Source organism: Homo sapiens, chromosome 11 (assembly GCF_000001405.40).
Source record: "Homo sapiens chromosome 11, GRCh38.p14 Primary Assembly".
Taxonomy (NCBI): Eukaryota; Metazoa; Chordata; class Mammalia; order Primates; family Hominidae; genus Homo; species Homo sapiens.
The window spans coordinates 90,674,709-90,701,787 of record NC_000011.10 but is presented as its reverse complement, the minus strand read 5'-3'; the positions used below and the strand labels follow the sequence as shown (position 1 = coordinate 90,701,787).

The following is a 27,079-nucleotide window of genomic DNA, read 5'->3' as shown; positions in this document are numbered from 1 at the left end:
AAAAAAACATTTTGGTGTCTTTCCACATTCACCCACCAAATAATTTAGAGGTGGAATAATGGACTGCTAGTTTAACTGCAATAAGAAAGATAACAGGCACTACTCCAGCGAACAATTTGAGAAAAAAAGAAAAAATGAGAGTTCTACAATAACAACAAAATCCACAAATGTTGAGTTAGTCCTTATCTGTGTAATTGCTGGTATTTGAGATTTTCCCATCCCGGCCAATTTTGTTCCCCAGCAGAGTGGCCATGATGGGATGGAGTAGTTCTTCACAAACACTCTTATCTCAGCTGTCAGTGCCTTTTGTTAATGTAGTCACACCCGGACTCTCTTTCCTATTTGGTTATATGTTAACGCTTCTGCATGTATTTAATATCTCTTCTCATATTTGTCATAAGCCCTGCCTTTTTGCTGTTGCAAAAAGAAATATCATGATATTTCTCTTAGGATTTTTTGTTGCTGATAAAGTTACCTCCTAGCATAACGTGTATAATGCTTGTTTCAGGACAAGTTGATTCTGAAATCACCATCCAGAAATGAGTCACTTAACATCACTGCAGGGGTCTTGCCCTGCTCTGGGTTCCAGAAGTGAGTACTGTAACACAACTATTTTTATAAGGGTATTTTCTGTCCTTTCAAAAAGAGATATGACTTGGGAAATCTTTCTTAGCTTAGGGAAACCTGCTTCTCAATGCTTCTTACTCACTGTTCACATGGAGGAAAAGTCCCATTAAATAAAAAATACCCACTCTCTCATTTACGAGGCTAAGTATTCCCGTAAGTCTCACTTTTCAATGTCAGAAGATATAAAAAAGTGTTACATAGTGTGCACAGCTGGGGCCCTTCTGTTTGAATTATCTGTGGCAAGTATCTCAGGTGGCCCACTTAAATACAAAATAAACACATATTTAATCACAGGATGCATGCATTTCCTGATGATTCTTCAAATATTTTTCACTGTATGGAAATGAAAATAATAAATTAAGTAGTGGCTATGTTACTTATTCACTCTATAGTTTTTAATGAGTCAATTTACTCAGTTTTATCTTTGAGATGAGAGTAACAATACTTTTGTGACCTTTACAGCAGATCATGCATATGATAAAATTTTGAAAAGTTCTGTATGAATAGTTTGTATTATCATTACCATATTTGTTGAGTGACAAGCCTGCAATTTTCTAAGGTGCTGGATGTAGTACTGATTTAGGCTAAATTAAAGAATACATGGAGAATGATGTTTGTCGAGGCTTACGGAAAAGAAAAACAGGTCTTTTTTTTGAGCAAAAGCTAAGCTCTGAATTGATGAAATTTAACAAACCTGTTAAGGAAGAAAGCCTCAAAGGTTTACAAGTTTTCTCACCTTTTTAAGAATCCGGGCCAGTAGATTCTTATAAATAACTAGCTCAACAATGAATAAGTACTGCGATGCTGTAAATGAAATCAGATAATATATTCATTTTCTAAAAACTATTTTAAAACCCATAGCATAATTCCCAATTTGAACTTGAGAGCAAACCACACGGTGACTCTTTGTGGAGTACATACAGAATAAGGCAGACAGGCCATAAAGTAAAAAGCCCAGCTGAATGGTTTCCCTAGCAACAATCTATAAAAGCAATTTCTCCCTTTCCTCTTGTTTTTCTTTGAAAAAGAAAAAAAAAACTAAACTATAATATTTATATCTGAAAGTTAACAGACTCTAATCTGAGCTTGATTCATTATGACAGACAGTGGGTGGTATAAATACCAGGAAAGATGCTATATTCATGCAAACTGACAAATTCTTAGTTTTGCCTCCAAGCTCAGATGTCTCTCAAGCTGCCTGGCACATCTCTGTACTGGTGGTTTAAGCCATATGTGTCCCTCTCCAGTAAGTTCAGGAAAGAGCTGCCCTATCATTCATGAATAAAGATAAGTACTCAGTTATAATTTTCTTCCACCAATGCAATTTAATTGTCCACCCTAAATAAAGTAGCCATTTGTTTTCCTACAAAACTATTGACCCATTTCATGAATTATATATGTATTCTTCAGGCACAAGGCCATGTAGTTTAGTTTTCGTAATGCGATGTTATATTTCCTTAACACAAATAAATCATGGAAAGGAACAGAGGGCAAATCTTCATTTAAAAGCCATTAAAAGGAAACATCCAATCCATTTGAATAGTTAATATGGCATTGGGTTTTTCTCTTGCTGAACTCGAGTCCTATGTGTCTTCAAAGTCACCATGTCTTCAGGCTAAATTTGTAATTTTTGAAGTTACCATTCCATAGCAGCACCATCAGGACAAGTAAGTAGGTGCTTTCCTGGAAATACATATGAAGAAGCAATGCTTCTCTATCATTAAGAAGAGCTATAGAATTTCAGCAAGAAGGTGTTCTTTTATTTATTTCTGAATAGTTTTAGGTAATATTTGGGAAACCAATATTAACTTCCATAAAATACCCATAATACTTGTCAGAGAAACAATACCATTAAAATTGCTTTAACTAAGAATAGTTGTTAGGAAAGGAAAAGAAAATTATAGGCTAATAATTAATATTACATGTAGAAGCTGCAGGGAACTATAAAGTAGATTTTATAGAGCTTGGAGAAAATCTTCCACCATGACAATTGCCATGAAGAGTTTTATGACAATATGACACCAAGTTGTAAACTCCTCAAGAGCAGAGACCTTGAAAAGTGTCCTAAATGCTTCTCAAACTGTTTAAGCTGGGCTGGATACCCTATTGTTCTCAGAGCAGTAGTCATCATAAAGCCATGTCTGGCCATTCCTTGGTGACATATCTCCTTGACATTTTGGTTATTTCCAGTGTGAAGAAGATTTAACTAAAGACTGACATTCCTTCACCTTTAAACAAATGCCCTGAAAGAGTGATTATTCTCAGAAATCTTTAGCCATCTCCTTTTCTAGCCTCAGGTCAAGAGCATAACTTGGCTCTATCATTCATAAACTATAGCTCACAAAAATCTCCTTTTATATATTACTGAAAACTATTCCACAGACCTTCCCTCTCTAATCCACAAGACATGAGATAATTCTATTCAGCTCATCTCAGTATAACCTGTGATTCATGGGCAGCCCCTGTGTAATAATGTTTGTTGTCATTATGTTGACCCAGTGTTGAGGCCCTCTTAGTAGCTGGTCAGTACTCTTTCTGAGTAGTTGATTAAGACAACACCCCAATCACTTCCCTCTTACAATCCAGGCTACTATGTGCCAGACCTAATCTTCTTGGGGCTACCCACCAGACAACCAGAGAAAGCTGTTATGCCCAAAAGCCAGAGGAATTATTCAAATTAGTCAGTCCACAGGGTGCCTGAAAAACCTAGCTAACTCCTACCCCACTTGTCATACATAGCTACCTCCTACTGTTCCAGCATGCTATTATCCTGTCCTCAGGTAGAGCCTCCTGTGTGGCCTTCCCTGGTAGCTTTCTTTCCCTTGTTGCTGTAACTGACAAAAGAGTTCTGCCTTTCATCTATCTAAGTGTAATTGTGTTGTGTCTCACCATCAAAACAATCTTTAAACATTATGATACACCCTCTCATCAGCATTATAACCTCCAATTTAAAAGCAGCCCTTCCATTGTCCATAATCCAGCAGCACTATCACCCAGCATTCTACTTCCAACCAGAAATTCCATAACATTGTGTTCACATTATGTATACAATATTTTATTTTATGAAATGCTTACTTGCTTACTGCTAATTTTTATTGACTCCATTCATTCTTCTATTCATTACCATTCTTAAAATCTATAGCCTATTAATAAGTAAAGACAATCTTCTAGGTAAATACAAGGTTATTAACTGGGGTCTTTTTTTGCAAGACTTAACACTATGTTCCACCTGTCTTTTTCTAAACTTATCACATGGTACTGCTGTATCTTAATTAATTTTTTTTCCTAGAGTGTATTCCTTTATTATAGTTTTACTGGTGTTTCTTCTTACTTCTAATCTGATGGGTATCAAGTCATTTTCATAAATCATTTATTAAGTATCATTCCAATTCAACAAGTACTTACTAAATATTTACTATGTGCCAGACACTACTAAACGAGAGATATAACATTAAAAAACAGACCATTGTTCCTACTGCTAAATATTTTTGAGTCTGATGTGGAAGTCAAGGATTCAGTAACAATATGGGTTGGATTACACCTCAACTCTTAACTTGTTTCCACAGAATTCCTAAACAATCTCATTCTGTTCTCCCCTAAGGAATATTTTCATATTCTCATTCACTTATTCATTCACTTGTTCATTCATTTGTCTTTTCTCAAAGAGGTTCTGATAAGCATCAGTGTTTTTCATACTCATTAATACAACCATGCTTTTCTCTAAAACCTCTGTGAATTTACTATTCTGCTGATATTTCCTGTGAATTTTTGTTTTCTGACTTTATTTTTTTCTGTCTGAAGTTACCTTTCTTCCATGTTCTATTTCCACAAGTTCAAATTCTGCAAAGCCTCAAATATGTAGAAAAAACAAAGCCTTTACTTATAATTCCTTACATTTGCCCAAACCCCATATACACATTGAAAAATTTTTTTCTTCTGAAAATCACTATTATAATTTTGGTGATACATAATACACAAGTTACCCAATTTTTAACTTAAATTTTGGTTTTCCATTTGTCTAGTGTAGGTATATGCATGTGTACATGTATATATAGCATATCTGACCTTAAGGGCAAGATTTCTCTAATTCTCTGTTACTTCCATGTGGAAGATATAGTCAGTGGCAGTTCAATATCTTATTTTAAATTTAGTTGGTACTCTATGTTTGTCACATAGACATGTTAGATGATTATACTTTTTCACTTTATTCTGAATCAAATTGGATATAAATACAAGAATTGGCTGTTCTCGCCAATCCTTATGGCTATCTTTTTAACAACAACAACAAAAAATCACTTCTCTTTGACCAATGTTGGCCATTTACATATCTCTCTGCCAAAGAGAAATTTTTATTTCTCCCTGACCAATGCTGGTTATTTATATATGTCTTATATATGTTCATACCTCTTATATTTAAAAATTCAGATAAACTAATATTTAACCTATTTTATAACTTCTATTCTCCTGTTCTCATTTTCCCACATCAACTTTTTCAAAGAGGCAAATCTCCACTTGAAAATTAAAAGTTAAAAATTATGCTGAATTTATCCAGTGAACTATTATGTAGCTATTTAAACTTATGGCTAGCAAACCTATGCAGCAGTATAACATGTGCTTAGGATATCACAATCAATGAAACGTATACATGTATCATAATATACTCTGTTACAACTGTAGAGAAATTGTCTTAGAAAAAAATTGGCAGAAAACACTCAGATTGTATTAATACATATTTAAATGCTGGATGTATGGGTAGTTTTTTATGCCTTTTCCTTATTTTGGAATATTTGTGGTGGAATATTACTTTTATATTTAGAAAAACAAATGTTAAAGTAATAGTGATGCAGTCTTACTGTGAAATATGGACCAATTTACTTTTCAAAACACTAAACCTTTTCATAAGAAAATATAATAGCTAAAGATTTCAGGAAGTAAAATAATGGTTTCACTAAATTGGCCTTAAGCGCAGGCCAATTTATAAATGATTTGAAGAGTTTAAATTTATAGGGGGTCTCCTTATTCCAATACTTGATTCTACATTAGCTTCTACTACTGAATAAATTCCTTAAATGCATTGCAGAGATTGCAACTAACACTTCTGTTTATATTGTAGAGAACCCCAGGTCATCAGAATATTGCTGTGATATGATATAATTATGCTCCAGTCTCAGCAGCAGAAAATTTTAGTCATTACAATATGATGCTTATTTTGGAAACCAGTAATAATTTATTCTTGACCTATGTAAATAAATTTTGGATTGCCTCTAACTGTGGCCTAATGACCGCACAGAGTTCCCAAGGGTTTCAAGAATGTATATTCAAAGAAAGACAAGGAAATCACTATTAATTGTGCTGGCAACATAAATAAAAGTAATGTGCCCCATTATTAAACTCAAATTAAATTACAATCTTGAGATATATCAGAGCACTCTACCTGACATTCAGCCACTACATACAAATTTACTTCACAAATGCACTACACTTAGGGAATGGCATGAGGGATACAGAAATAGGAAGTTACTGTGTGTGTGTGTGTGTGTGTGTGTATCCACATTAGACATACATGCAAACATATATAATAGTTAATATATTTTTATTATATGTATGTGTGTATATAATATGCACACATACATATAATAAACATATATATGTTAAATTTTACTAAATTATTTATTGTAGTTTTCTGTTTATAATCTAACTCAATTCTTATTAATAACCTCTAATACTATGATTTCTATTTCTGTTTCTAAAAAATAGAAATACATAAAAGCCTGAAGGCACAATAAAAACAGCTCTTAGCCCATTCTGCTCCCCTTGTTCAATGTTTACTCTTGTTCATTATGCAGTATTAGTATATTTAGTCAATATTCTACAGAGAAATAGAACCAATAGATATGGATAAAAACACACACACTATATATATATATATGGAGAGAGAGAGAGAAAGACACAGAGATTCTTCTTTTAAAGAATTGGCTCCCATGACTATGGAGGCTGGGACTCCAAGATCTGAAGCTGCCAAGCTGATCACCCAAGAGAACTGAGGGTATAATTTCTCATTCAAGTCCAATTGTTTAAGAATCAGGAGAGGTATATTAGTCCATTCTCATACTACTATGAAGAAATATCCAAGACTGGGGAATTTATAAAGGAAAGGGGTTTAATTGACTCACAGTTCCTTATGACTGGGAAGGCCTCAGAAAACTTACAATCATGGTGGAAGGTGAAGCAAACACATCCTTCTTCACATGGTGGCAGGAAGGAGAAGTGCCAAGCAAATGGGAGAAAAAGCCCCTTATAAAACCATCAGATCTGCTGAGAACTCAGGATCATGAGAACAGCACGGGGGTAACTGTCCCCATGATTCAGTTACCTCTCACCAAGTCCCTCCTACCACAAGTGGGGATTAAGGGAATTACAATTCATGATGAGATTTGGGCGGGGACACAGCCAACCATATCATTTCACGCCAGTCCCTCCAAAACCTTATGCCTTTACATTTTTAAACACAATACTGCCTTCCCAACAATCTCTCAAGGTCTTAATTCATTCCAGCATTAACCCAAAAGTCCAAGTACAAAGTCTCATTGGAGATGAGGCATGTCCCTTCTGCCTATGAGCCTGTAAAATCAAAAGCAAGTTAGTTATTTCCTAGATACATTGGGGGTATAGGCTTTGGGTAAATACACTCACTCCCAAAGGGAGAAATTGGCCAAAACAAAGAGGCTACAGCCTCATGCACATCTGAAATCCACCGAGGCAGTAAATAAATTTTAAAGCTTTGAAATAGTGTCCTTTGACTTCATTTCTCACAACCAGGTTACTCTGATGCAAGAGGTGGGCTCCCATGGCCTTGGGCAGATCCACCCCTGTGACTTTGCAAGGTACAGTGCCCTCTTGGCTGCTTTCATAAGTGTCTTTGGCTTTTCCAGGTGCATGGTCCAAACTATCAGTGGATCTACCATTCGGGGGTCTGGAGGATGGTGGCCCTCTTCTCACAGCTCCATTAGGCAGTGCCCCAGTGGGGACTCTGTGTGGGTATGCCAACTCCTCATTTCCCTTCTGCACTGCCCTAACAGAGGTTCTGCGTGAGAGCTCTGCCTCTGCAGCAAACTTCTGCCTGGACATCCAGGCACTTCCATACATCCTCTGAAATCTAATCAGAGGTTCCCAAACCTCAATTCCTGAATTCTGTGTACCCACAGGCTCAACACCATGTGGAAGCTGCCAAGGCTCAAGGCTTGCACCCTCTAAAGCTATGGCCTGAGTTTTACCTTGGCTGCTTTTAGCCACAGCTGGAGCAGCTGGGACACAGAGCACCAAGTCCCAAAGCTGCACACAGCAGAAGGGCCCTTGGCCTGGCCGATGATGCCATTTTTTCCTGATAGACCATCAGGCCTGTCATGGGAGGGGCTGCCGCAAAAGTCTCTGACATGCCCTGTAGACATTTTCCCCATTGCTTTGGTGATTAACATTGGGCTCGTTTTTACTTATACAAATTTCTGCACTGGGCTTGACTTTCTCCCCAGAATATGGATTTTTCTTTTCTATCGCATCATCAGCCTGCAAATTTTCCAGGCTTTAAGCTCTGTTTCTCCTTGAACACTTTGCTGCTTAGAAATTTCTTCTGCCAGATACCCTAAATTGTCTCTCTCAAGTTCAAAATTCCACAGATCTCTAGGGAAGGGGCAAAATGCTGCCAGTCTCTTTGCTAAAGCATAGCAAGAACTATCTTATTCCACTTCCCAAAAAGTTCCTCATCTTTATCTGAGACCACTTCAGCCTGGATTTCATTACTTATATAATTATCAGCATTTTGGTCAAAGCCATTTAACAAGACTCTAGGAAATTACAAACTTTCCCACATCTTTCTATCTTCTTCTGAGCCCTCCAAACTGTTCCAATCTCTGCCTGTTACCCAGCTCCAAAGTCACTTCCACATTTCTGGGTATCCTTAGGGCAACACTTCACTCTCTATAGTACCAATTTACTGTATTAGTCCATTTTATGTTTCTGTGAAGAAATACCTGAGACTGGGTAAGTTATAAAGGAAAGAGGTTTAATTGACTCACAGTTCTGCATGGTTGGGGAGGCCTCAGGAAACTTATAATAATGGCAGAAATGGAAATAAACGCATCCTTCTTCACATGGTGGCAGGAAGAAGTGCCCAGTAAAAGGGGGAAAAAAACCCTTATAAAACCATCAGATCTTGTGAGAACTAACTCACTATCACAAGAACAGCATGGAGGTAACCACCCCCAATGATTCAATTATCTCCCACTGGATGCCTCCCTTGACATGTGTGTATTATGGGAACTACAATTCAAGATGACATTTGGGTGGTGTCACAGCCAAACCATATCAGTAGCTGATGGCAAAAGTTCCAGTCTAAGGACAGGTGAAAATCAAAAACCCAGCTCAACCATTAAATCAGTGCAATTCTCTCTTATTTAGCCTTTTTGTTTGATTTAGGCCTTCAAAAAGGAGGGTAATCCGCTTTAGTCTACCAATTTAAATATTAACCTCATCCAAAACACCCTGACAGACATACCCAGAATAAGATATGAGAAAATATTTGGGGACCCCATGGCCCAGTAAAGCTGACCCAAATAACTAACCATCACAATCAGAATCTAACTGGCTTTTAAACCTTTGATTATGACCATTATGTACCTATTATATTTGAGATCAATGGCTTTAACTATTATTTGACCACTGTTCATAAAATTATTGATTTGGACCAAAAGTTAGCAACTGTACTTAGGAACAGAATTTTGCTCCCTTGACTTGTGACTACAAGGCTACTAAGTTCACACCTAGCTTCTAATTGCATTCTGGCTCCTCCTGTTCCTGGCTACTGAGTGTAAGCTCTCCAGGGCATACTGCTGGGCAGTGACTTGAGAAGGACTGACCCAGAGATTTTTTTGCACCAATAAAATTACCTTAGCAAGAATTTGACTGCTTCCATAGCAGTGTATGTTATGATCTTAACCCACATTTCACTGTTTTTATTTCCTTTTCTAAACCATAATTTTGCATGATGGAGCCTGCAAGAGACCAATTCAAGAACTGAGTCCAGTAACTGAGGAAGGTAAGGCTATATTTAATGTTAGAGGGAATAAGAGGAATTTATACTGTGCATGGACAGAAACTTTCATGAAGGTCATGTATGTGGTAGGCAGATTACTAAAAAAATTCAGATTGAGGGATCAACAAGATTATAATAGTCCAATTACCTCAAGATTACAAATAGGATCTAACCAACTCCACTAACACTGGACTGGTACTTCAGTCAAAAATTTGATAAATAATCTTAGTTTAAAAATCAGGATGGCCGAATAGGAACAGCTCCAGTCTACAGCTCCCAGTGTGAGCGACCCAGAAGACGGGTGATTTCTGCATTTCCATCTGAGGTACCGGGTTCATCTCACTAGGGAGTGCCAGACAGTGGGCGCAGGACAGTGGGTGCAGCACACCATGAGCGAGCCAAAGCAGGGCGAGGCATTGCCTCACTCGGGAAGTGCAAGGGGTCAGAGAGTTCCCTTTCCTAGTCAAAGAAAGGGGTGACAGACGGCACCTGGAAAATCGGGTCACTCCCACCGTAATACTCCGCTTTTCTGACGGGCTTAAAAAACAGCAAACCAGGAGATTATATCCCGCACATGGCTCAGAGGGTCCTACACCCACAGAATCTTGCTGATTGCTAGCACAGCAGTCTGAGATCAAACTGCAAGGTGGCAGTGAGGCTGGGGGAGGGGCGCCCACCATTGCCCAGGCTTGCTTAGGTAAACAAAGCAGCCGGGAAGCTCGAACTGGGTGGAGCCCACCACAGCTCAAGGAGGCCTGCCTGCCTCTGTAGGCTCCACCTCTGGGGGCAGGGCACAGACAAACAAAAAGACAGCAGTAACCTCTGCAGACTTAAATGTCCCTGTCTGACAGCTTTGAAGAGAGCAGTGGTTCTCCCAGCACGCAGCTGGAGATCTGAGAATGGGCACTCTGCCTCCTCAAGTGGGTCCCTGATCCCTGACCCCCGAGCAGCCTAACTGGGAGGCATCCCACAGCAGGGGCAGACTTGACTCCTCACATGGCCAGGTACTCCTCTGAGACAAAAATTCCAGAGGAACGATCAGACAGCAGCATTTGTGGTACATGAAAATCCACTGTTCTGCAGCCACCGCTGCTGATACCCAGGCAAACAGGGTCTGGAGTGGACCTCTAGCAAATTCCAACAGACCTGCAGCTGACGGTCCTGTCTGTTAGTAGGAAAACTAACAAACAGAAAAGACATCCACACCAAAAACCCATCTATACATCACCATCATCAAAGACCAAAAGTAGATAAAACCACAAAGATGGGGAAAAAACAGAGCAGAAAAACTGGAAACTCTAAAAAGCAGAGTGCCTCTCCTCCTCCAAAGGAACGCAGTTCCTCACCATCAATGGAACAAAGCTGGACGGAGAATGACTTTGACGAGTTGAGAGAAGTCTTCAGACGATCAAACTACTCTGAGCTACAGGAGGAAATTCAAACCAAAGGAAAAGAAGTTAAAAACTTTGAAAAAAATTTAGACGAATGTATAACTAGAATAACCAATACAGAGAAGTGCTTAAAAGAGCTGATGGAGCTGAAAGCCAAGGCTCGAGAACTACGTGAAGAAAGCAGAAGCCTCAGGAGCCGATGCGATCAACTGGAAGAAAGGGTATCAGTGATGGAAGATGAAATGAATGAAATGAAGCGAGAAGGGAAGCTTACATAAAAAAGAATAAAAAGAAATGAACAAAGCCTCCAAGAAATATGGGACTATGTGAAAAGACCAAATCTATGTCTCACTGGTGTACCTGAATGTGACGGGGAGAATGGAACCAAGTTGGAAAACACTCTGCAGAATATTATCCAGGAGAACTTCCCCAATCTAGCAAGGCAGGCCAACATTCAGATTCAGGAAATACAGAGAACGCCACAAAGATACTCCTCGAGAAGAGCAACTCCAAGACACATAATTGTCAGATTCACCAAAGTTGAAATGAAGGAAAAAATGTTAAGGGCAGCCAGAGGAAAGGTCGGGTTACCCACAAAGGAAAGCCCATCAGACTAACAGCGGATCTCTCAGCAGAAACTCTACAAGCCAGGAGAAAGTGGGGGCCAATATTCAATATTCTTAAAGAAAAGAATTTTCAATCCAGAATTTCATATCCAGCCAAACTAAGATTCATAAGTGAAGGAGAAATAAAATACTTTACAGACAAGCAAATGCTGAGATATTTTGTCACCACCAGGCCTGCCCTAAAAGAGCTCCTGAAGGAAGCGCTAAACATGGAAAGGAACAACCGGTACCAGCCACTGCAAAATCATGCCACATTGTAAAGAACATCGAGGCTAGGAAGAAACTGCATCAACGAACGAGCAAAATAACCAGCTAACATCATAATGATGGGATCAAATTCACACACAACAGTATTAACTTTAACAGTAAATGGACTAAATGCTCCAATTAAAAGACACAGACTGGCAAATTGGATAAAGAGTCAAGACCCATTACTGTGCTGTATTCAGGAAACCCATCTCACATGCAGAGACACACATAGGCTCAATATAAAAGGATGGAGGAAGATCTACCAAGCAAATGGAAAACAAAAAAAGGCAGGAGTTTCAATCCTAGTCTCTGATAAAACAGACTTTAAACCAACAAAGATCAAAAGAGACAAAAAGGCCACTACATAATGGTAAAGGGATCAATTCAACAAGAAGAGCTAACTATCCTAAATGTACATGCATCCAATACAGGAGCACCCAAATTCATAAAGCAAGTCCTGAGTGACCTACAAAGAGACTTAGACTCCCACACAATAATAATGGAAGACTTTAACACCCCACTGTCAACATTAGACAGATCAACGAGACAGAAAGTTAACAAGGATACCCAGGAATTGAACTCAGCTCTGCACCAAGCGGACCTAATAGACATCTACAGAACTCTCCACCCCAAATCAACAGAATATACATTTTTTTCAGCACCACACCACACCTATTCCAAAATTGACCACATAGTTGGAAGTAAAGCACTCCTCAGCAAATGTAAAAGAACAGAAATTATAACAAACTGTCTCTCAGACCACAGTGCAATCAAACTAGAACTCAGGACGAAGAAACTCACTCAAAACCTCTCAACTACATGGAAACTGAACAACCTGCTCCTGAATGACTACTGGGTACATAACGAAATGAAGGCAGAAATAAAGATGTTCTTTGAAACCAACGAGAACAAAGACACAACATACCAGAATCTCTGGGACACATTCAAAGAAGTGTGTAGAGGGAAATTTATAGCACTAACTGCCCACAAGAGAAAGCAGGAAATATCCAAAATTGACACCCTAACATCACAATTAAAAGAACTAGAAAAGCAAGCAGAAGACAAAAGCTAGCAGAAGGCAAGAAATAACTATAATCAGATCAGAACTGAAGGAAATAGAGACACAAAAAACCCTTCAAAAAATTAATGAGTCCAGGAGCTGGTTTTTTGAAAGGATCAACAAAATTGATAGACCATTAGCAAGACTAATAAAGAAGAAAAGAGAGAAGACTCAAATAGATGCAATAAAAAATGATAAAGAGGATATCACCACCGATCCCACAGAAATACAAACTACCATCAGAGAATACTACAAACAACTCTACGCAAATAAACTATAAAATCTAGAAGAAATGGATAAATTCCTGGACACATACACCCTCCCAAGACTAAACCAGGAAGAAGTTGAATCTCTGAATAGACCAATAACAGGCTCTGAAATTGTGGCAATAATCAATAGCTTACCAACCAAAAAGAGCCCAGGACCAGATGGATTCACAGCCGAATTCTACCAGAGGTACAAGGAGGAACTGGTACCATTCCTTCTGAAATTATTCCAATCAATAGAAAAAGAGGGAATCCTCCCTAACTCATTTTATGAGGCCAGCATCATCCTGATACCAAAGCCAGGCAGAGACACAACCAAAAAAGAGAATTTTAGACCAATATCCTTGATGATCATTGATGCAAAAATCCTCAATAAAATACTGGCAAACTGAATCCAGCAACACATCAAAAAGCTTATCCACCATGATCAAGTGGGCTTCATTCCTGGGATGCAAGGCTGGTTCAATATATGCAAATCAATAAAAGTAATCCAGCATATAAACAGAACCAAAGACAAAAACCACATGATTATCTCAATAGATGCAGAAAAGGCCTTTGACAAAATTCAACAACCCTTCATGCTAAAAACCCTCAATTAATTAGGTATTGATGGGACGTATCTCAAAATAATAAGAGCTATCTATGACAAACCCATAGCCAATATCATACTGAATGGGCAAAAACTGGAAGCATTCCCTTTGAAAACTGGCACAAGACAGGGATGCCCTCTCTCACCACTCCTATTCAACATAGTGTTAGATGTTCTGGCCAGGGCAATTAGGCAGGAGAAGGAAATAAAGGGTATTCAGTTAGGAAAAGAGGAAGTAAAATTGTCCCTATTTGCAGATGACATAATTGTTTATCTAGAAAACCCCATCGTGTCAGCCCCAAATCTCCTTAACCTGATAAGCAACTTCAGCAAAGTCTCAGGATACAAAATCAATGTACAAAAATCACAAGCGTTCTTATACACCAATAACAGACAAACAGAGAGCCGAATCATGAGTGAACTCCCATTCACAATTGCTTCAAAGAGAATAAAATACCTAGGAATCCAGCTCACAAGGGACGTTAAGGACCTCTAGAAGGAGAACTACAAACCACTGCTCAATGAAATAAAAGAGGATACAAACAAATGGAAGAACATTCCATGCTCATGGGTAGGAAGAATCAATATCGTGAAAATGGTCATACTGCCCAAGGTAATTTATAGATTCAATGCCATCCCCATCAAGCTACCAATGACTTTCTTCACAGAATTGGAAAAAACTACTTTAAAGTTCATATGGAACCAAAAAAGAGCCCGCATCACCAAGTCAATCCTAAGCCAAAAGAACAAAGCTGGAGGCATCACGCTACCTGACTTCAAACTATACTACAAGGCAACAGTAACCAAAACAGCATGGTACTGGTACAAAAACAGAGATATAGATCAATGGAACAGAACAGAGCCCTCAGAAATAACACTGCATATCTACAACTATCTGATCTTTGACAAACCTGAGAAAAACAAGCAGTGGGGAAAGGATTCCTTATTTAATAAATGGTGCTGGGAATACTGGCTAGCCATATGTAGAAAGCTGAAACTGGATCCCTTCCTTACACCTTATACAAAAATCAATTCAAGGTAGATTAAAGACTTAAACATTAGACCTAAAACCATCAAAACCCTAGAAGAAAACCTAGGCATTACCATTCAGGAAATAGGCATGGGCAAGGACTTCATGTCTAAAACACCAAAAGCAATGGCAACAAAAGACAAAATTGACAAATGGGATCTAATTAAACTAAAGAGCTTCTGCACAGCAAAAGAAACTACCATCACAGTGAACAGGCAACCTACCAAATGGGAGAAAATTTTTGCAACCTACTCATCTGACAAAGGGCTAATATCCAGAAGCTACAATGAACTCAAACAAATTTACAAGAAAAAAACAAACAACCCCATCAAAAAGTGGGCGAAGGACATGAACAGACACTTCTCAAAAGAAGACATTTATGCAGTGAAAAAACACATGAAAAAATGCTCATCATCACTGGCCATCAGAGAAATGCAAATCAAAACCACAATGAGATACCATCTCACACCAGTTAGAATGGCAATCATTAAAAAGTCAGGAAACAACAGGTGCTGGAGAGGATGTGGAGAAATAGGAACACTTTTGCACTGTTGGTGGGACTGTAAACTAGTTCAATCATTGTGGAAGTCAGTGTCGCGATTCCTCAGGGATCTAGAACTAGAAATACCATTTGACCCAGCCATCCCATTACTGGGTATATACCCAAAGGACTATAAATCATGCTGCTATAAAGACACATTTACACATATGTTTATTGCGGCACTATTCACAATAGCAAAGACTTGGACCCAACCCAAATGTCCAACGATGATCGACTGGATTAAGAAAATGTGGCACATATACACCATGGAATACTATGCAGCCATAAAAAATGATGAGTTCATGTCCTTTGTAGGGACATGGATGAAATTGGAAATCATCATTCTCAGTAAACTATTGCAAGGACAAAAAACCAAACACTGCATGTTCTCACTCATAGGTGGGAATTGAACAATGAGAACACATGGACACAGGAAGGGGAATATCACACTCTGGGGACTGTTGTGGGTTGGGGGGAGGGATAGCATTAGGCGATATACCTAATGCTAAATTACGAGTTAATGGGTGCAGCACACCAGCATGGCACATGTATACATATGTAACAAACCTGCACATTGTGCACATGTACCCTAAAACTTAAAGTATAATAATAATAAAATAAAAAATGAAAAAACCAGTATTTAAAATAAATATTGAAATGTGCATGCGGTGACTCATGAAAATATTAATAATTTTATATTTCTATTTAGAGTTATAAAAAATATTAAGAGATTAGGATTTTTTGTAAGTGTAGATATAATTAATCATTGGCACTCAACTCTGTGTCTTGGCAATACGAGTAGTTATAATGCAAAAATAATGCCGTTAGTTAAATAGAAATCTTGGGGGAATATTTACTTTTATATTAATTCCTGCCTAATTTTAAGCCGGAAATAAGACTTGCTTTAATTGACATAATAACTTCTATGTTTGAACTTAATCACGTATTGAAAATATTTTTCTTTAGTTATTAAATATTTGTCAATAATTCTAAAATAATTTTGAAAAGTAAAAGAAGTACATAATGTAAAATCATTATTACATTTTGTAGTTGAAAGAACAATGTCTATATTATAAGGAAACAAACAGAAAATAAAAATATAATCTTGGCCATTTACATCAAACTAATCGCCTGGTTTTCTGTATTAACTGAATTGTTTTACTGCTTTGTCCTTCAGTGGCTATGCTTGATAAAGCCATAGTACATCTATCTGCTTTCCATTGTGGTAAACTCATGTTTCAGAATCCAATACAGTGGTGAGTGTAAGTGTTAGTACCTTGAAAATAAGTAGGGCTTCATAATTTTCAAGGTAAATAAGACAATTTGTGTAAGATATTAGTATACAAATGAAGTAGCAGAGCATTCAGGAGAGACTTTTAATTTTAAGTTAGTAAAGGCATATTCTTTTCATGGTTGTCCTATAAAGTTATTTGACATTTTGACACCAAACTATTATTTTTATCTTTTCTGGACCCTCACTGTTTCTCATTCATAAAGTGTAATGTTTTTCCAAGTGGACACTCGGAGATATCCAAACCTTTCAAAGGGCATGTGAGATCCAAAGTATTTTAGAATAGTACTAAAATATTATTTGTTTTTTTTATTGTGTTAACGTTTGTACTGATGATGCAAAAACAATGGTGAGTAAAAATATGGGTACCTTAGTACAAGTCAAGGAAACGGCACCCAACCATACTAATAGTTATTGTTTTCACTACCATGTTTTTGATGAAGTAATAAAAATTACTCAACTTTTAAATCTCTACTCTTACTTACATAATTTTCGTTTAATATTCTGTATGATGAAATGGTAAGTACACATGAAATACTTCTGTTGTATACCAAAGTTTGAGGACTATCTTAAGGAGAAGCAATTGGCAAGTCTATTCTGTGCAAGCTAAACTAGCTGCTTTATTCAGGGAACAAAATTTTTACTTGAAAGAACAGACAGAAAAACTATAGTTATTTAAACTTAGGATTTTGATAGATATTGTCTTGAAAATGAACAAAGTAAGACCATTACCTCAAGAAAAGCAGTTAACAATATTTGTTACTAAAAAGTTTTGCATTTTGTACTATAAAGTTTTAATTTTATGAAACAATATTTGCTACATAAAATTAATGTTTTCAAGCAAAAGTCAGAATGTTGGAAAAGCTGTACTTGCTACCAGGAGCTTGACACCTTTTGAATATAAAGACTTTTCTTGGCAGATAAACAGTAATATTAATTATAAAATATTGTATAATAAACTGTGTTAATATTTGGAAGCTCTGCATCACTACACCAAACAGTATTATTTACATGATCTATGCATGTTACAGAATCACCTTCATGTGAGAAAAACAAATGTTTTTTAATAAAAAATATTAAATGTATATTGATATGGTCTCAGATTACACATTGCAATTATCCTTTGAAATCAACTGCTAGTTGAATTTTGGTATAGCATTAAAAAAGAACATAAATATCTCAAAAAGTTAGTAAAATAACCTCATATTTCAAACTGTATACTTGGATGGGGCCAGATATTCCTACACATGTCAATCAAATCAACATTGTGATAAATTTAATGCCAAATTAGATAAAAGAATTCAGCTTTCTTATAAAACCAGACATTAGAGATTAATAAAAATGAGAAATGGTGTCTCTTTTCTCACCATACTCTATTGGAAACTAATTATTATCAAAATATATTATTTACATTAACAGGTTAATAGGTTTATGTAAACAGTTTTATCTGGAGTTATCAAAGACCAAATCCAGCCTGAAGGCCTGATCTAGCTTCATGCCTATTTTTGTAAATAATGATTTTTTTTAACACAGTTATACTCAATGTTTTATATATCGTCCATGGTTATTTTTGTTCTACAGCAGCAGAACTGAATAATTACAAAAAAAATGGCTCAAAAAACCTAAAGTACTTATTATCCAGCCATTCACAGAAAAAGTGTGTGGTTCCCAGAGTTATTTATTATGATTTTAAAATAAATCAATGAAAGTTTTAAAATTGTCTGCTGTAAATTCCAAGATGGTAAACATCAAGAGATATAACTGGATATATTCTCTGGCATTCTCACTTTTTTTAAGACCATATAACAGCCCCAGAGATGCAAAGATCGAAAACCACTGACGTAAACAACTTACTTTTCTGGAACATAATTCGGTATACTCAGTAGCCATCAGCTTTCTTTCCAAAACTATTTAAAAGTCTTTAGACTGACTATCCTTTGAAAGAAACCCACTACTCCTCTCTAGGTGGCCTAACATAACTGTCTTTTCAGGTTCCAGAGACCCCTTCCTTTTCTTGTCCCTTTGGGGTTAGTGTGATAACAGCTCTGTTATTATTTGTTCAGAATCCTGTGCTCCCCTCCAGTATCTCTGAACCCTACCTCCACTTGTGTTGTTAATTTCCTTGATAATAATCTCATCTTCAATTATTCTAATTTGAGTGTGTTATATGTGCTTCCCTGGGACTCCAACTAAGAGTATTTATACAGTCACACCTCACTTAACAACTGAATATATTCTGAAAACTGTGTCGTTAGGCTGTTTTGTCACTGTGTGAACATCATAGGGTATTCTTATACAAACCTTAGTGGCATAGCCTGCTACTCCCCTAGGCTATACGGTGTAGACTATTGCTCTTACGCTACAAACCTGTACAGCACCTTACTGTACTAAATAGCACAGGCAATTGTAACAAGATGGTAAGCAATTGTGTATATCTAAACATAGAAAAAGTACAGTAAAAATATGGTGTCATAATCTTATGGGGCCACTGTGAAATATGTGTTTTGTCATTGATGGAAACATTGTTATGTGGCACACGGCTGTATATACACTTGCATATATGCTGCATATATGTCTGTGTATATGTACACAGATATGTATATACAACTATACAATACATACCTTTTAATTTGCACTTAACAGAGATAGAAAATGAAACACACAAGAGTTGAATAGTTACTACTAGGACACTAAGTTAGTGTATGCAAAATATGAGGCCAATATTATATCACAAGCAGTCTCACTGCAGAGCCTAGATGATCAACCTCTTAAATAATTTCCATTGTATTAAACCAAAGTCTTATCTATATATCAATCATATTATTACCCTTAGAAATAAATTACTAATTACATTTGTTTATGATCATAGTATCAGCTTCACCAGCATACACCAGCAACTCATAATTGTATTTTTTATTATACAGCATGTTTGTTGTTACAGCTTTTTTCATGTATCACCCACCATTAGTATAATATAGCAAAAAGAAGGAAAAGAAAAAAAAACAAGAAAAGAGCTACTAACATAAATTACTTCGACATGAACTATGTTATGTGCAATAAAATATCTATTTTTATGGTTTGATAAGGCACTTAACAATTTATTATTAGCCCTCAGTGTAAACTTTCCTACTCCATATATTATTTCAACTTATATAAGCATTCCTCATTTTATTGTGCTCTACAGATACTTCATTTTTTACAATTTGAAGATCTTTGGTGACTGTGTCAAGCAAATGTGTTGGCACCATTTTCACAACAGCCAGTGCCTACTTCATGTCTCTATGTCACATTTTGGTATTTCTCACAATATTTCGAATGTTATTATTATTACTACTTCTGTTATGATAATCTGTGATCTTTCATATTACTATTATAATTGGTTTTGGGTGCCATGAACTGCACCCATATAAAATGATGAACTTAATTAATCAATGTTGTGTGTTTTATGTTTATTCCACTGACTGGATGTTCTATATATGGAACAATAAAGCTTGGATGGCAGCACATCTGTTTACAATATGGTTTACCGAATATTTTAAACCCACCATTTAGACATATTGCTAAAAAAAAAAAAAAAAATAGGATTTCTTTCATTGACAAGGCACTCGGTTACCCAAGAGCTAGGAGACGTACAAGGAGATTAATGTTATTTTTGTCCCTCTAACACAACATTCATTCTGCAGCCCATGGATCAAGGAGTGATCTTGACTTTCAAGTCTTATTATTTAAGACATACATTTTGTATGGATATAGCTGCCATAGATAGTGATGCTTGCAATGGATGTGAGCAAAGTGAATTGAAAACCTTCTGGAAAGGATTCACCATTCTAGATGCTATTAAGAACATTTGTAATTCGTGGGAGCAGTTCAAAATATCAACATTAACTTGAGTTTGGAAAAAGTTGATTCCAACCCTCATAAATGATTTTGCGGGGTTTAAGACTTCCATGGAGGAAGTAACTGCAAATGTGGTGGAAATAGCAAAAGAACTAGAATTAGAAGTGGTGCCTAAAAACGTGACTGAACTGCTGCAATCTCATGATAAAACTTGAAAGGATGTGGAGCTGCTTCCACATTGTTGAAATGACAACAAAGGACGTAGAATACTGCATAAACCTGGTTGATAATGCAGCAGCAGGGTTTGAGAAAATTGACTCTAATTTTGAAAGAAGTTTTACTCTGGGTAAAATAGTATCAAACAGCATCACAGGCTACAGAGAAACCTTTCATGAAAGGAAGTCAATGGATGCAGCAAACTTTCCTGTTCTCTTATTTTAGGAAATTGCCACAGCCACTCCAAACTTCAGCAGCCATCAACATGAAGGCAAGATTCAAAAAAGATCATTAGCACTTTTTAGCACCAAAGTATTTTTAAGGTAAGGCATATACAATTTTTAGACAAAATGCTATTGCACACTTGTAGGCTATAGTATAATGTAATTATAACTTTTATGTGCACTGGGATGTGAAAAAATAATATGTAACTCTCTTTATTGCAATATTCACTTCATTGCATTGGTCTGGAACCAAACCCACAATATCTTCAAGGTATGCTATATCTGCATAAATGTATATGCTCTGTCATTAGTGTTTTGTTTTTATAAGTGAATCTAGTATTAGTCTATAAGGTTCAGGGGAAAAAATAAACAATTTATTGTTTTGCAAAATGCAGGGAATAGTGTTCATTACAACATGGGCAAACAAAATCTTTTAAGCTGCGGAAATGCTTCAACTATAAACCAAAAGAATCATTTGTCATTTCAACTGTTAGTTTTGCACTATACCAGAAATACCAGGAATAGGTGTGTTTTTGGCAGCTGAGGTATAAGCCATGCGGGAAAATTTCTGTGCTTTCTCCTGGCAGCATCAGGATTTCCCTCTTTTTCATTACATTCTTAATCATAAGTCTAAAGTATTTTAAAATATAAATTCCAAGTGAACACTTGAATTCCTACAAAAATATTATACTCACATAGTCATTCTTCACATCCTCAGTTTAATTGAGGACATTTTTTTAAACATAAGGCTAGAAAGTTGCCTTTCCTTCCCCGTGATTTCAAGAGCCTTAAAAATACCTTCTTATGCATTCTTTCCACATTTCTCACCTGCCAGTTTTCTGAATATTTTATTCATAAAACTAACCAGAAGGTAAAAACTTTTCTCCCACATCCTAAACTAAAGCTAAAGATGCAAACTCCCCAGGAGAGAAAACACTATAAATTAAATTCATACTCAGGCATCAATGACTGACTTAAAAATATATTTTTTTTCCAGGGAGTAGGTTTTGATGTGACAAGAGACCTACAGGAATACGCCAAAAACGGTAGAGAAAAGGGGTCTACATATTAAATAAAAGGCCCACATAAAGAATATCTGGAGCCATCTCCAAATCGTGGCATGGTGTAATATTTCCAAATCTTGCCTGGTGATAAAATGATCTAAAATAACTGTTGTTAAAATCTCAGCTTTCTGGCCTCACTCTAGAAATGTTGAACAAGAATTTCAAAGGAGAATCCTGAGAATTTTATTTTATGTTGTACCAAAGAGGATTTTTTGTAGGATTTATTGTAATCAGGCAATTTTTGGAAGCATTTGTGTAGCTAGTATGGGAAATGTGGCTCTGTTAGCAGCTAGATCGTGTTGCTTAACCTTCCTTTGCCTACATTTTATTATTTTAAATATTAATAAGAATTCTTAATTCACATAGTTGTTATGAAAATTAAATAATCGAATGCATATACAAGTGCCTGGAAATTAATAAGCATCTAATAACAATCAATCCCCTTCTTTCACCTCTGTCATGGTCTCATTACAAATTAGCATGATTACTGGTGCTGGGCTTCTCTAAATACTGTAGAATATTAGGCACTGACTGACAAGAGTCTCTCTAAGGCCTTAGTACCAAAAACAATCATTATTAACTTGCTATTTGAGATAGATTACAGTATCTAATTGTTATCATTTATATGACTCTAACATGCTTCAACTGACTTCAAGTGATCATTTTTTTCCCCATCACATTTTAGAATTTGAGGTAGCACAAATTAACATCATGTATAATTCAAATTACTCTCAATTCCTTGTCTCTTTCAGGGCCAATGATTCACCTACCCTCTCCTTTTGTATTTTCTTTTGAAAAATTAGATGAAGGCTTCAGAGAAAAAAACAAGAAAAATCTAAATAGGTGAAAGTGCAATCTTGTGCTACTTAAGAAAAATCCATTGCACCCATAAATAAGCAGTTTAGCTCTAGGTTGGGAAGCAGGCCTAGACATGGCACTGATGATAAAAACTGTAATGTCCTTAAACTGTTATTTGCACAAAGAAGGCATTTGGTAAAATTTATTGATAAACTGAACATACATGAATACTAATCAGTAATGATTAGCAACAGACATGGATACTAATCAGTCTGTCATAGTAACACCTTTTTCTAGAACTTCACTTTCTACCTTTAATATATATTGTATTCTACTTGACCATATAATACATTTAGCTATGTGCAATTCTTTTCTTAATTAGCAGAGATTAAGTTCTTTGCAGGTAAAAAACTGTTGAATTCATCTTTGTATCATTTGTAAAGCATCTTATTCATAGTATATGCTCCATGAACTTTGTCAAATTGATTCAAAGTAGTCTCCACAAACTGTTGCTTCTCTTACTAATTTATATGAACTATGTTTTTCCATTTTTACTTAACAAATTCAGTTAATTCAACAGATACTATTATCTTGCCATAACTTTTTTTGTTTCTTGACTACAAACAGTAGCTGTTCATGTTCTGTTTGTAACAAAACTGTACAAATGAAAAATACATCATGCCAGATATGTTATTTGCTGGATACTGGTGAACCTAATATAAGATACTCAGTTTTCTGATATTTATTCCAGTGTGATATTAATTTCGTGATGATATAAATCATTGAGATAGGAAACAGTCTAGAGAGATGCTCTTTCCTTGCATGGGAAGAAGATATGTATGCCTACCACATTCCATATGTTGTAAGAAATATTTACATATATATGATGTTGTTACATCTTCACCTCAATTCTAAGAAGTATAAATGATTATCCTCATTTTGCATAAAAGAAAATGGAAACCAGAAATTTAACTTGAATCAAATTATGTAGTTAATACTACAATTGGGATTTGAAACTAGTTCTGCCCTATTTCAAACACAAATCTCTGTCTTCTTCTCAACACAACCTTTACGTACAGATTAGAATCAAAATGGAGGGAATACATGATTTTCCTTGTCTCCTCCAAGGCTATCTATTGCCATTTCTCATTATTTTCTTAAGCAACTCATGTCTACTCATCTGATAGCGTAGTTTTTCTCCTTTTATAACCTTCCTCTTATCTGTTTGTTGCCTTCTGAAAATTTACATTGCCAAGCCTTTAAAATGTATCTTTTCCTTTGTTGCCTCATATCCCCTATTCTATTGGCCTTTTGATGCCCAGTTCTGTAATTCACTGAATGGACACCTGATTGTTATCTATTTTCAAATATTTTAAATTCAACGTGCTTAATTTGCTGTAGGCAACATAATATTATTGAGAAACATGTCCACAACAACTGTAAATGGAAAGGTATTATATAGAATTCCTTTGGGTTCATTTCTTCCCCAATTTTAATATAGCCTATTAACTTTTGAGGACAGCATTACTGCTTTGTTATTTTATCAGTTCTTTGAAATTGATTCTACTTGTGATCCAAATGTGAATTTCTTGACTGATAGCACATCTGGCCAATGATATAGTCAGTTTTGCCATTTAAATTTCAAATATTAAAGATTAAAAATATTAAATATCAAATATTAAAGATTTCAAATATCAAAAATATGTATTTTCACAGTTGAAATAATAAATAGCATTGCACATTTTCCTGCTAGTAATAAAGTTCAAGACATATTCATCCAGTACCACCTGTATATAAAGCAAGGAGAGAGTATTTATATTTGACAGGTTACACAGGGTAAATTAGAAGTATTTTCCAGTGGGAAAAAAAAAGAACTTAAATGTAGAACACAGATAGAATAATATTAGCGAAATATATGTGGTGATGATGGGTAGGGAGTATATTAGTCTGTTTTCACACTGCTGATAAAGACATAGCCAAGACTGGGCAATTTACAAAAGAAAGAAGTTTATTGGACTCACAGTTCCATGTGGCTGGTGAGGCCTCACAATCATGGTGGAACACGAAATGCATGTCTTACATGGCAGCAGCAAGAGAGAGGAGCTGGTACAGGGAAACTCCCATTTTTAAAACCATCAGATCTTGTGAGACCCAATCACTATCATGAGAACAGCACAGGAAAGACCTGCCCCCAAAATTCAATTATCTCCCACTGGGTCCTTCACACACATGTGGGAATTATGGGAGCTACAAAATGAGATTTGTGTGGAGACACAGAGCCAAACCATATCATTTTGCTGCTGGCCCATCCCAAATCTCATATCTTCATATTTCAAAACCAGTCATGCCTTTCCAACAGTACCCCAAAATCTTAACTCATTTCAGCATTAACTCAAAAGTCCACAGTCCAAAGTCTCACCCCAGACAAGGCAAGTCCTTTCCACCTGTGAGCCTGTAAAATCAAAAGTAAGTTAGTTGCTTCCTAGATACAATGGGGATATAGTCATTGGGTAAATACAGCCATTCCGCATGGGAGAAATTGGACAAAACAAAGAGGCTACAGGGCTCATGCAAGTCCGAAATCCAGCGAGGCAGTCAAATCCTAAAGCTTCACAATGATCTCTCCTGACTCCACGTCTCACATCCAACTCACTCTGATGCAAGATGTGGGTTCCCATGGTCTAGAGCAGCTCTGCCCTGTGGCGTTGCAAGGTACAGCCTCCCTCCTGGCTGATTTCACATGCTGGCATTGAGTGTCTGTGGCTTTTCCAGGCACGTAGTGTAAGCTGTCAGTGGATCTACCATTCTAGGGTCTAGAGGACAATGGCCCTCTTCTCACAGCTCCACTAGGTGGTGCCCCAGTAGAGAGTTTGTGTGGGGGCTCTGACCCCACATTTCCTTTCTGCACTGCCCTAGCATAGGTTCTCTATGAGAGCCCTGCCCCTGCAGCAAACATCTGCCTGAACATCCAGGTATTTCCATATATCCTCTGAAATCTAGGTGAAGGTTCCCAAACCCCTATTCTTAACTTCTGTGCACTGTCAGGCTCAACACCATGTGGAAGCTGCCAAGGCTTGAGGTTTGCACACAGTAAAGCCATGGCCCAAGCTCTACATTGGCCCCTTTCAGCCACGGCTGGAGTGGCCATGACCCAGGGCACCAAGTCTCTAGGCTTCAAACAGCACAGGTACCCTGGGCCCAGCCCATGAAACCACTTTTTCCTCCTAGGCCTCCAGGCCTGTGATGGGAGGGGCTGCTGTGAAAACCTCTGACATGCCCTGGAGACATTTTCCTCATTGTCCTGGTGATTAACATTCAGCTCCTCATTACTTATGCAAATCCCTGCAGCCAGCTTGAATTTCTTTTCAGAACATTGGATTTTCTCTTCTATCACATTGTCAGGCTGCAAATTTTCCAAACTTTTATGCTCTGCTTCCCTTATAAAACTGAATGCATTTAACAGCACCCAAACCACCCCTTGAATGCTTTGCTGCTTAGAAATTTATTCTGCCAGATACCCTAAATCACCTTTCTCAAGTTCAAAGTTCCACAAATCTCTAGGGCATGGGCAAAATGCCATCAGTCTCTTTGCTAAAACATAACAAGAGTCACCTTTGCTTCAGTACCCAACAAGTTCCTCATCTCCATCTGAGACCACCTCACCCTGGACTTTATTGTCCGTATCACTGTCAGCATTTTGGGCAAAGCCATTCAACAAATCTTTAGGAATTTCCAAACTTTCCCACATTTTCCAGTCTTCTTCTGAGCCCTGCAAACTATTCCAATCTCTGCCTGTTACTCAGTTTCAAAGTCACTTCCACATTTTCAGGCATCTTTTCCACAACACCCCACTCTAATGGTACCAATTTACTGTATTAGTCAGTTTTTAAGCTGCTGATAAAGACATACCCAAGATTTGGCAATTTACAAAAGAAGGAAGTTTATTGGACTCAGAATTCCACCTGGCTGGGAAGGCCACATAATCATGGTGGAATGCAAAAGGTGCTTCTTTTGTGGTGGTGGCAAGAGAGAAAGGCTGGTTCAGGAAAACTCCCATTTTTAAAACCATCAGATCTCTTGAGACCCATTCACTAATACAAGAACAGCATGGCAAAGACCCACTCCCATGATTCAGGCATCTCCCACTGGGTACCTCTCACAACACATGGGAATTATGGGTGC

At 36.9% G+C, this 27,079-nt stretch overlaps 1 long non-coding RNA gene across 1 annotated transcript in view, besides 1 other annotated feature; it reads right to left on the bottom strand.

Annotated features, from left to right (window-relative positions):
- The window catches only part of DISC1FP1 (DISC1 fusion partner 1), a 663,821-nt gene that overhangs the window by 213,265 nt on the left and 423,477 nt on the right, over positions 1–27,079 (bottom strand). The gene's annotated exons all lie outside the window — the stretch shown is intronic.
- Positions 607–676: an enhancer, noted in NCBI's record as "active region_5387". NCBI's record gives its function as "activates an Ori minimal core promoter by ATAC-STARR-seq in GM12878 lymphoblastoid cells {active_cell/tissue: GM12878}" and the evidence as "EXISTENCE:reporter gene assay evidence [ECO:0000049][PMID:35858748]".